This window comes from Homo sapiens, chromosome 10 (genome assembly GCF_000001405.40).
Source record: "Homo sapiens chromosome 10, GRCh38.p14 Primary Assembly".
Taxonomy (NCBI): Eukaryota; Metazoa; Chordata; class Mammalia; order Primates; family Hominidae; genus Homo; species Homo sapiens.
The window spans coordinates 100,884,824-100,896,405 of NC_000010.11; the positions used below are offsets into that span (position 1 = coordinate 100,884,824).

Genomic DNA, 11,582 nt, shown 5'->3' on the forward strand with positions numbered 1-11,582 from the left:
CTGGCTAACATGGTGAAAACCCATCTCTACTAAAAATACAAAAATTAGCTGGGCATGGTGGCATGTGCCTATAGTTCCAGCTACTCAGGAGGCTGAGGCAGGAGAATCGCTTGAACCCGGGAGGCAGAGGTTGCAGTGAGCCAAGATCGTGCCACTGCACTCCAGCCTGTCGACAGAGTGAGACTCTGTCTCAAAAAAAAAAAAAAAAAAAAAAAAAAAAAAAAAAAAAAAAAGGCAAGATCATTCTGGCTTTCATTCGCACCTGGAAACAACTGTTTCTAGGAGAGAGACACTGTCTTACATTTTTTTTTCTTTTGAGACAAGATCTCGCTTGGTCACCTAGGCTGGAGTGTGGTGATGCCATCATGGCTCACTGCAGCCTCAAGATCCCTGGCTCAGGTGATTCTCCCACCTCAGCCTCCCGAGTAGCTAGGGTTATAGGCGCGTGCCATCATGTCTTGCTAACTTTTTTGTAGTTTTTGGTAGAGATGGAGTTTTGCCACATTGCCCAGGTTGGTCTCAAACTCCTGGGCTCAAGCAATCCACCTGCCTCAGGCTCCCAGTGTCGGGATTACAGGCAAGAACCACTGCACCTGGTCTGCAGCCCCTATTTAGAAGAGGACTAGGTTGGAAGGGGGAGAGAGTTAAACATTTATGAACTATTCTTGAAATAAAGTTCTGTAAGAATGCTTCTAAATCAGACTAATAAAATTTCTCTTCCAAGATCCTCAAAGGAAGGCCCAGGTCTAGTACCAGCTGGAAGGGAAGGGAGCTAACATTTCGTTGCATGCTGATGTGCCAGGCTCAGCACTGACTTTTTTTTTTTTTGAGACAGAGTCTCGCTCTATCACCTAGGCTGGAGTGCAGTGGCGCGATCTCGGCTCACTACAAGCTCCACCTCCAGGGTTCACGCTATTCTCCTGCTTCAGCCTCCCAAGTAGCTGGGACTACAGGGGCCCGCCACCACGCCCAGCTATTTTTTGTGTGTGTGTGTATTTTTAGTAGAGACAGGGTTTCACTGCGTTAGCCAGGATGGTCTCGCTTTCCTGACTTCATGATCCACCTGCCTCGGTCTCCCAAAGTGCTGGGATAATAGGCATGAGCCACCGCGCCCAGTCAGCACCGATCTTTTATGGGCATTATCCCTCTTTTACCAAAAGGGAAATTGAAGCTGGGAGATGTCAGTAATGCGCTCAGGGGCAAAGGATAATATAACCCCTAGCCTGAAAACACCAGCCCTAGAAGACACCAGTAACCATCTCGCCAGCTTTAAAGAAGAAATGGCAGGTACACAGTGTAATTCTCCCAGGCCTCCAGGTGCCCTGAGGGAAGATTCACAACCAATTGAGGGAAAATCCACCCAACTGTGACCCAAGTTAGAACTTGCCTCCAGAGTTACCAACACCCCTAAATCTAGTGAAAGGGAACCACAGGGTCTTTAATAATCACTCTGTCAGGTCACGGGATGGTGACTAATGGGCCTAGAGGAGGAGATGGTGAAAAACACTCTAGGAAATAAATTTGGGTGATTAAATTTCAAGGCAGTTCATGGAACAGCAATCTGAGGCCTAAACTAAGCCATCAAGTTACCAAGAGAATCAAGATTTCAATTTAACCGCTGCTGCCCAGGAACCAAGCCTGCGTCTGCAAAGTATTTGTGGGTTAGAAGTAGGTACCCTCCAGAACTTTCTGAGTAACTCTGGCACCTTCCTAACCTCAGCCATTCCTCCCAAAGGGCCAACTAGCAATAAGTCAAAGAATGCGTGTGTTTCTCCGGTTGTTTCATAATTCCAGGTCTTTAAGTAAAAAGAAAAATCATGGCTCACCGAGTAAGGGAGGTACGGGTTGTGGGAGGGCCTTCTATCAGGCGCAGGCCAGAGCCATACACAAATCTTTGAGAGACTCTCAGTTTACTAAACTAACAGGAGAGCCCAAATTCCTCCAATTCCCTGCTATTTCAATTGAATGCTATGTTCTCTGATTGGACCTTATCCCCAAACAGTCATGGTCTAATGTCTGGGGCATAATCCCCCCTCCAACTGAATCACACCCCAGGTGCTGTTAAGCTTTGCAGGTGAACACAACCCAGGCTCTAAGGTAAGAACCCTAGGTCTGATTCCCCATCAGATACTCTCCATGCTCACTGTTTATAGTCCCTGGGGCATCACTACTTTAACTTGTTTATGTCTTTTTGAGTAAAGTCAGTGTGGGGAGAGCTGGAGACGGTGGCAGGCCTCTGTAATGGAAGAACCCAGGCTGGAAGAGCTTAGCAACTGCAGCTGCTCCCATCTCTCTCTGTTTCTCAATCTCTTCCTCTCTCGAGATTTCACCTCTCTCTGCCCTGGCTCCACCAGCTGTTTCCTGCAAATCCAGCTGAGACAGCTGCTGGCCCCACCATGCTAAATTTCCAGGGGCCCTGGAACCCCTTGGCTGTCTCGGCCCAAATGTGGGCAAATCTCAGGCGTCCAGACAAGGCTGAGATTGTTCAAAAAGCACTTCGCTAGGAAACTGGGGGGAACGCCAAAAAAGTAAATTACAAAGGCAGAGAAACAGACAACTTACGGAACACAGATTCCTTCCCCAGCATAATTCAAGTCTAGACCCAGAATAGTTTGTTGCAAGAACAAGAGGCTAAGAAGGGTAGGAAGAAAAGGTACAGGTTTTTGACCCCTTGCTCCTCATTCTTCCTCAATTCATTAGGGCTTGGAGTTTAGCCTGAGATAGAGGTTGTTCTGGGAAAGGGCCATATGTGCAAAGTGGCCCCCAAATGCTGAAGGAGCTGAGAAACAAAGAACGAGGCAAACAAATCCAATTTGTCAGTAAAGGGTGTTTTATTGGGGGGAACTTACAGAGAGAAGCATGGTCTTGCATGGATGCAAGATAGGTAGATTTCTGCACTGTTACTCCCCAGACCCATGGCTTATATACCATAGAGAAAGGGTGCACACACTCCAGCAGGACAATGCAAGGCAACCCTCCGGAAGAGGCAAGAATGCTACATGCGTCATAGCCTATAATTTGTGCGATAACATCAGGGTTGCTTTGTTCTTACACTAGAGACAAACAAGGTAGGAATCAGGAGGCACTCAGGACTGGGGCTACTCATAAGTTAACATGGCGGGTTAGCATCCGCGATGGAGTCGCTCTTGTCTCCACAGCGGTTAACACCATTGCCATGTCTCATTGAGTTCTCGGCTTTCAGAACAATGCCACCCAGGCTCCTGTCTGAATCTGGCTCCCAAATCTAGGCTGTGCTATGTCTGCTCTGCCCCCTAGTTGGGGCTCCTGACCTGGCCCCTGAACGAGGAATGCACTCCTCTGCCGACCTTCTTATGCCGGTTCCGGGGTGCCCCTTCCAGAGAGCTCAGTGACTCTGCTCCACCCACAAACATGCGACCTTCTCCCCAAGGCTGCTTCTACCTTTCCTTAAAGCTAAAATTGGCCAGGCATGGTGATTCACACTTGTAATCCCAGCACTTTGGAAGGCTAAGGTGGGAGAATTGTTTGAGGCCAGGGGTTCAAGACCAACCTGGACAACATAGTGAGAGCCTATGTCTACAAAGAAAATTTTTTAGAAAGCTAGCTGGGCGTGGTGGTACCCACCTACAGTCCTAGTTACTTGGGAGGCTGAGGCAGGAGGATAGCTTGAGCCCAGAAGTTTGAAGTCATAGTGAACACCACTGTACTCTAGCCTGGGTGACAGAGTGAGACCTTGTCTCTTTAAAAAACAACAACAAAAAAAGCTAAGATCTTGGTCTCTTGGTAGCTTTAGGTGCTGGGACTCTTGGGTTGATGTCTGTCTGGCAGGATGGTGGTGAAGCTATTACTCCAGAAGCCTTTCCTTCTGAGCTCCCAGCCCTAGCAATCCCTCTTAGGTCCCCTGTTCCCCACCATTTAGATGCCAGCCCACATGACCTTCCTATATTCCACTGCTACACTGGAGCTAACAAGCACAAATACGTATCAACTATCACCAAGAATTGAGAAACTGTTCTCTCAGAGCACCTCCAGAAGAAGTGAGCTAAATGCTAGATGATGCCTCCAATTCCCATCTCTAGATGTAGGTTCAACAGAGTTCCACTTCCACATGTTCCATCATTTATTGGAAATTTCCATCAGGCTCATTCATCAGCGCCTTAGCATCCATTACCCAACTTGCCCCCAAGCTAACGTGTCAGCCTACTATTGCCAGGTAGCTGGAATCCATTGGTCCAACCATGGGCTTTGGGGTTCAAATTCTGGTCCTGTCATCTATTAGCTGGAAGACCTGAGTTAAGTCGTTTAACTGGAACTGCTTTTTCTGTGACATTGGAAGGAGTGTTTTGTAGCTCCCTCTCATGGTTGATAGGAGGAACTAATAAAATTGCATCTGTAAACCATCTAGCATTTTGCCTGACATATAGTAAGAATGTTAAAATTAATATAGATATACAGATATACTCCCTTTCCTATGCAAACTGGTGCTCTATACCAGCTCTCCAATATCCTTCGGTGACACCATCATTTCTAGAAAAGTAGATTATCTTGGATCCATGTGACAGACTTCATTCACATCATAAATTAATAAATTCACTTTCTGGTTTTAGGCATTAGTCTCTCAAGCCTGATCAATATGCTTTTGCCACTAGGACAAGGATCTGTTTCTGGTTGGGCAGAAAATGAGTTTTCTGCACCCAAAAGGCTGAGGGTCAGAGAAAATTATCCCAGTCTATGGCTGTTCCCGGAGAAAACTCCCAGGAGACAGCATGCTCATCACCCCCACAACTGGTCACCTCTATATCAGATACCCCTGGATTTGCCATCTCTCTTTCCATTTGGAACTGTTCTACGCTGGGCTCAGAGTTTCACATCTAGTAGGTGTTTAGGACCTATTTGTTTTGTCAGTGTGTGAGTGGGTGGGTGGATGGTTGAGTGGGTCACCGGAAATTCGTACCTCTTTTTGAGGCAGGGAAGGAGCAGTGGTGGCCTAGCAACCAGGGAATCTGCCTAGCAACGAGGGTGGGAGGCAGAGGCTGCTGGAATAGTTTAGAATGGCTAACAAATAGGCAGATGTAAAAGAGACCTTTCTGGATCTTGTCAAGTTGGGGTCTCAGGCCAAAAGGAGAAAGGAGACCCACAGGGATCAGGAAAGAAGTGTGGGAGGAAGGGCTGTATTTGAAAATGTTACAAACTCAAACTGGAAAAAGCCTCACGCCTTTTCTACATGTGCTCAAGCAGAAGGCACCCCTCCCCATTCTCACCCCGAGGAAGGTGATACCTCAGAGTAGACACATTTGAAGAGCATACCACCTTTTCTGCACTCCAATTTGCAAGGGTACAACATTTTAACATGTTCTATCAAGTCTGGAATTTTTATCAACTCAGAAAGCTACAACCCCCTGGAAAGGATGAAGACCTATATTCGCTTAAAATGAACCCAGAGGCAGATTAAGCGACTTTCCAATACGGTCTGTCTAGGGCAAAGGAACCATTAGGAACTCGGGACTGGTCTGACTTGAATTGTTTCCCTCTCTCCTTCCTTTCCACCCCGTCACAGGACAGGGCTTGGACATCCCCTCCTGTGAACTCTCAAGACCCTCCCCTGAAGAGAGGAAAAATTGTCATCAGCCTTTGACCTGATTAATAATTAAAACTGCTGAGTTTGAACTGCCCCTAACAGTGAGGTGCTCCAAAACCCCAGCAAACTTTAACAAATAACCAGCTTGCTCAGGGGAGAGAGGAAGCTTTATTCACTAGACAAACTGACAATTAGCTGCTATTCAAATCCCCCTCTAGTCCTAGCATATTGGTTCTCCTTTGAAAGTGGCTCGGCATGGGGTAGAATTTTTGGCCTTGAGTTTAGAACTACTGTGCATAAAATCAAAGCAAGGAAGCCAGCAGTTGAGAGAATAGAGGCTATTTGGGGATTAGTGATTTCGGAGTTAGATTTCTAATAACTTGGTGAGTGGTGGGTTAGGAATGTCCTCCAGGAGCATCAGGCAGTCAACACTGTGGGACATGTCCTCACATTGAACTGGAAAGCAGTGAGTCACTACCCTAGAGAGCGGAAATACAAAATGGCATGAAATAACTGCAACCGCAGCACCACATGGTAATCTGCCTTTTGTAACCTCTGCAGGCTACATCGCATGCTTACAACTTGGGGTTATGTGTGAAGCCCCAAGTTTGGCTCAAAGTTTTCTCCCCAAATAGCCACAAATATGGGCACCCCCACATTAGAGAACACATTAATGGAGAACAAAGGGAGGAGAGTGGATAAGATGGGAGAGGAGAGAAGGAGGGGGCAGGCATTCAAACTGCTCATTTTCCCCTAGGAAGCATAAGGCCCAGCCACTACGGTGGATGAGCAAAGCAAATTGGTAATGGGTGATCCAGATTGCATCGCAGAGTCTTGCCTGCTTTCCAGGCACTTACTAAACTTTATAACTCTTTTGGGGGTAAGGCACATAAACCCAGGGTTTCTCATTGACCAGTCGGGGAGAGGGAGTCTGAGCTCGCTGGTCCAGGTCTGTTGCTTTTCCACAATACTGTAGTCCATCAAGATTTTTTTTAATGCGTTTTTTAAAGGAGGGCTGGAAAATGATGATATGAGCAGCAGCTGCTGTAGATTCCAGATTGCAATAGCCCAGCCTAGAAAGCACTAGAAAACTCAGTGTTTCAGAGATGGAGAAGGCATAAGACAGAGGTCCACAGATGGATGGCTGCTTATCCTAGGCACCCTGATGTGGAGGGGGGAATTCTGTGTGGAAAAGTTTACCTTTATCCTTTTTGGTTTTAATTGAAGTACAACTTGCAGACAGTAAAATGGATGGTTCACAGTGTCTGGCTTGATGAAGGTATACTGTATGTGTATTCATGTAACCACCAGCCAGATCGAATGTGAAGCATGACCCCCATTCCAGAAGATTCCCTCGTGTCTCCTCACAGTCAATATGCATCCACCTCCCAAAAGTAGCCACATTCTACCCTCTCTCTAAATAAGTTTTGCCTGTTTTTTAAGTTTCATAGAAATGGAATCACTTGGCTGGGTGCAGTGGCTCACGCCTGTAATCCCAGCACTTTGGGAGGCCGAGGTGGGCGGATCACGAGGTCAGGAGATCGAGACCATCCTGACTAACACGGTGAAACCCCATCTCTACTAAAAATACAAAAAAAAAAAAAATTAGCCGGGCATGGTGACAGGCACCTGTAGTCCCAGCTACTCAAGAGACTGAGGCAGGAGAATGGTGTGAATCCGGGAGGCAGAGCTTGCAGTGAGCCCAGATCGTACCACTGTACTCCAGCCTGGGCAGCAAAGTGAGACTCCATCTCAAAAAAAAAAAAAAAAAAAAGAAATGGAATCACTTAGTATATACTCTTTTGTGTTTACCTTCTCATGCTCAATATATCTGTGAGATTCATCTATGGTGTTGTGGGAATCAATAGTTCATTCTTTTTCACTCTTGTGTGGTAATCCGTTGTAGAAATATACCACAATTTATGCATTCTACTGTTGGAACATTTGTGTTACTTCCAGTTTTTGTCTATTATGCATAAAACTGCTATGAATACTCTTGTGTCTGTTTCATGGTGGATGTTAGCACTCATTTTTTTTCTTTTAGAGATGGGGGTCTCACTGTGTTGCCCAGGCTGGAGTGCAGTGGCTATTCTCCCACATGATCATGATGCACTGCAGCCTCAAACTCCTGGCCTCAAGTGATCCTCCTGCCTCTACCTCTGAGTAGCTGGGACTACAGATGTGCACCACTGCACCTGGTTTTGTTGTTATTAGCACTCATTGCTGTTGGGTATACACCCAAGAGTGGAATTACTGGACCACTTATTTATAAACAAAACAACCTGGACTCAAAGACAGTAGGGACCATGTCTGTCTTCTTCACTGCTGTATCTCCAGAGCTTGTTGCAAAGTAGGTACTCAGTAAATATATTTGGAATGGATAAAAGAATATTGATGAAAATGTCAACTTTTCCAAAATTAATGGACACATTTGATACAATTCTAATTAGATAACAAAAAAGTTTTGATTTGGAGGAAAAATTAAATAAAATCATCCTAAAATTATATAGAAGGATAAATGCTTTAGAATGGCAAAAAATATGTTAAAAAAAGAAACATAAAGGGTGAGACTTGTCTTCCTAGACAACAGAATGTACTATAAAACCACCGTAATTAAATCAATTTGGTATTGGCATGGGAATAGATAAATGGATCACTGGAATAAAATAGAGAACCCAGAAATAGACCAAGTATATACATGAAAATTTACTATATGACATACTTCGTGTTTCAATTCCATGAAAGAATGGATTATTTAATAAATGGCACCAAGACAACTTCCATCTGGAAGAAAATAAAATGGGACTCCTATTTTATACCACATACAAATATAAACTCCATATAGATTAAAAACAAATGTAAAAAATAAGACAATAACAACTTGGAAATTTAGGAGGCTACATGTTCAATATGGAGGCAGGAAGGGAGGTGCTTTGTAAACCAAGACTGGAAATCCAGAAGCTATAAAAGAAAATATAGACACATTTTATTTTACCTTATAACAATTAAAAAACACTTTTGTATGGCAAAAGATAAAACAAAGTCAGTAGACAAACAACAGATTTGGGAGAAAATATTTGTAATGTATAGGACAGATGATTTTTTAAAAATAAAAAGATTTTATAAACGGACAAAAGGGATACAAATAATAGAAAAATAGGCAAAGGGCATCAACAGACACCTCACAAAAGAGCATATTTAAATGGTCAACACACATAGGGAAAGAAGCTCAAAATTATTAGTATTCAGAGAGATGCAAATTAAAATACAATGAGATATTATTTTATACCTTTTAGACTAGCAAAAATTAAAATGAGGGTAATTTCCATTGCTGACAGGGATAGAAGGAAAACAGTTTTTATACTGCTGGTAGAAATGCAAATTTCCACAACCCTCTATAATCTGGAAACATCTTTAGAAATTGAAAATATATATTCCCTTTGACCCATCAATCACACTCTTATATCCCATAGAAGAGCAAATGCCAAGAGATTATACATACATACGTACACACACACACACACACACACACACACACACACACACACACACACACACACATACATATTAGGATTGTTTGTACTGGCCATTCTTCTCCCCATCCCTGAGGAAAAAAGACAGAAACAAATTAAAACCCAGTAATAGGCACCGAGTGGTATGCTAGTTAAAACCAGGAAAAAGCCCTGGTTTGCAGTGTTTGCAGATTTCTATGATGTGAATATTCCCGTCATGCCTCATTTCAAGCTACCAGCCTGATGTCACTGAGTGCCAGGTTGGAAAGAAATGTGAACAATCAGCTCCAGAAATCCAGGAGCTCCAGCTGAGCCACACCTTGAATAAGTTATATATAGCACAGCCACACCTCTGGCTATTAAAAAGAATGACGGGCCAGACATGGTGGCTCACACCTGTAATCCAAGCACCTTGGGAGGCTGACGCAGGCTGATTGCTTGAGTACAGGAGTTCAAGACCAGCCTGGGCAACATGACAAAACCCCATCTCTATAAAAAAAAATACAAAGAATTAGCCAGGCATGGTGGCTTGTGCTTGTAGTCCCAGCTACTCAGGAGGCTGAGGTAGGAGGATCACCTGAACCTGGGAGGTCAAGGCCACAGTGAGCCAAGATCTTGTCCCTCCACTCCAGCCTGGGCGACAGAGTGAGACTCCATCTCAAAAAAAAAAAAGAATGAGATTGTATTGCAGAAGTTTGCTTGGTAGATTTCCAAGGTATTGTTGAGGGAAAAAAAAAAGCAAGTGGCAGAAAAGTGTATAATATCATATAATCATATTTTTTGAAATATATATAGACAAAAAAATCTATATATGTATGTGTGCATTCTATTTGCATATGATTGTATGACTTTGAGAAGATGGGGAGGAGGAAGCCAAGCAAAAAGAGGAAGTAAAAAGGGCACATTTATGCATTATACATATGTATATAGAAGTAAGATTCTTTTTAACCAAAAAAAGAAAGAAAAATATATTGAGCCCTTGAAACATGCCCTGTTCTGTATCAGCTGCTTGGGAATATAGGAACACGTGAGACATGGTTTCATTCTTACATCTAGCTGAAAATATAAAAGCAAATGATCACAGGATTATTTACATATTTATTTATTTGAGACAGAATCTCACTCTGTCACCCAGCCTGGAGTGCAGTGGCTCAGTCTCAGCTCACTGCAACCTCTGCCTCCTGGGCTTGATTGAGCAATCCTCTCACTTCAGCCTCCAAAGTAGCTGGGACTACTGGCGTGTGCCACTATGCCCGGCTAGTTTTTGTAGCTTTAGTAGAGACGGGGTTTCTCCATGTTGGTCAGGCTGGTCTCAAACTCCTGGACTCAAGTGATCCACCCGCCTCAGCTTCCCAAAATGCTGGGATTACAGGCGTGAGCCACCGCACCCAGACCACAGGGTAATTTATTATCTCCAAGTAGGTGTGAAATAAATGCCACAATGGAAGGACAAGCAAAATAATAGAAGGGCTGGGGTTTTCGTTGTTGTAGTTGTTTTTTAAATAAGCCCCAAGGATCCTCCTCCACCCAAGCTTGCTGCCAAGTCTAGATCTCCTTCACCTTCTTGCAGTGGGTCCTGGAACCAGCCTGCTTTCCTCTCCTTGGGGAGGTACCTTTGCCAGCCTCCCCAGCTCCTCCTTTCTTGCTGCTCCCCAAAGACAAATACATTTTATTTTAAAGCTTTTATTGCTTTGCTGCTACTGATTTACTGCTAATCACCATGGAAACAGACGTGGAAAATATAAACAACACGATTGAGGAAGCCACACATAATCAAGAATCTTACAGGTGTAACAAGGTTTGGTTCCCCCGCCTGCCTCTTGACTCCTTTATTTTTGGTTTGTCTTTTTTTCTTTCTTTTTAAATTTTTTTTGCAGTTCTCCCATCTGTGCCATCGACTCCTTTCTGAAATGGTTACTGGAAGCCCTCACTGGGTGCTACCCTCCCTTTCAACTCTCTCTCCTTTCTCTCTCCCTCTCTCCCTCCCTCCCTCTCTCTCTCCTTGGGTAGCCAACTATCCATCAAGCAAGACCCACTCAGAGTGGCCATCAGCTTTACATTGGGGAGGGGGCCTCTCACCTCACAGGAGTTCTGTTCTCCCAGGCCTCTCTTTTATTGGGTTTTCATCTCTGTATAACACATTAACAAATAGGCCAGACAGGTAATCTGTGTGTCTCCAAACCAAGGATTAGCTAAAGCCCAGTAAATCCCAGTTGGCCCCAGCAGCCTTTGTCTTCAGGAAGCACCAGCCCCTGATGAATTCTCCACTCAGAGAAGTCCCCTCAGCCCATCAAAGTCCCCCATCACCACCTGATACCCCTCCTCTCCAAACATTGTAGTCTCCTTGCTGCCAACTGGCCACTTTTTGTCCGGCTCTGTGTTCCAGTGAGCATCCTCCGCCCGGGAAAGGCTAGCTTTTTTTTTTTTTTAAGACAGAATCTCACTCTGTTGCCCAGGCTGGAGTGCACTGGAGTGCAGTGGCATGATCTCAGCTCACTACAATCTCCATCTCC

The 11,582-nt window shown here is 44.4% G+C and overlaps 2 annotated features.

The window, feature by feature from the left end:
* Positions 5,165-6,364: an enhancer, noted in NCBI's record as "BRD4-independent group 4 enhancer chr10:102649745-102650944 (GRCh37/hg19 assembly coordinates)". NCBI's record gives its function as "activates an origin of replication core promoter dependent on BRD2, P300/CBP, MED14 and CDK7 cofactors, and independent of BRD4, by STARR-seq in HCT116 cells {active_cell/tissue: HCT116}" and the evidence as "EXISTENCE:reporter gene assay evidence [ECO:0000049][PMID:35650434]".
* Positions 5,889-6,183: an enhancer, noted in NCBI's record as "tiled region #13917; HepG2 Activating non-DNase unmatched - State 7:EnhWF, and K562 Activating DNase unmatched - State 9:DNaseU". NCBI's record gives its function as "activates a minimal TATA promoter and a strong SV40 promoter by Sharpr-MPRA in HepG2 and K562 cells {active_cell/tissue: HepG2 | K562}" and the evidence as "EXISTENCE:reporter gene assay evidence [ECO:0000049][PMID:27701403]".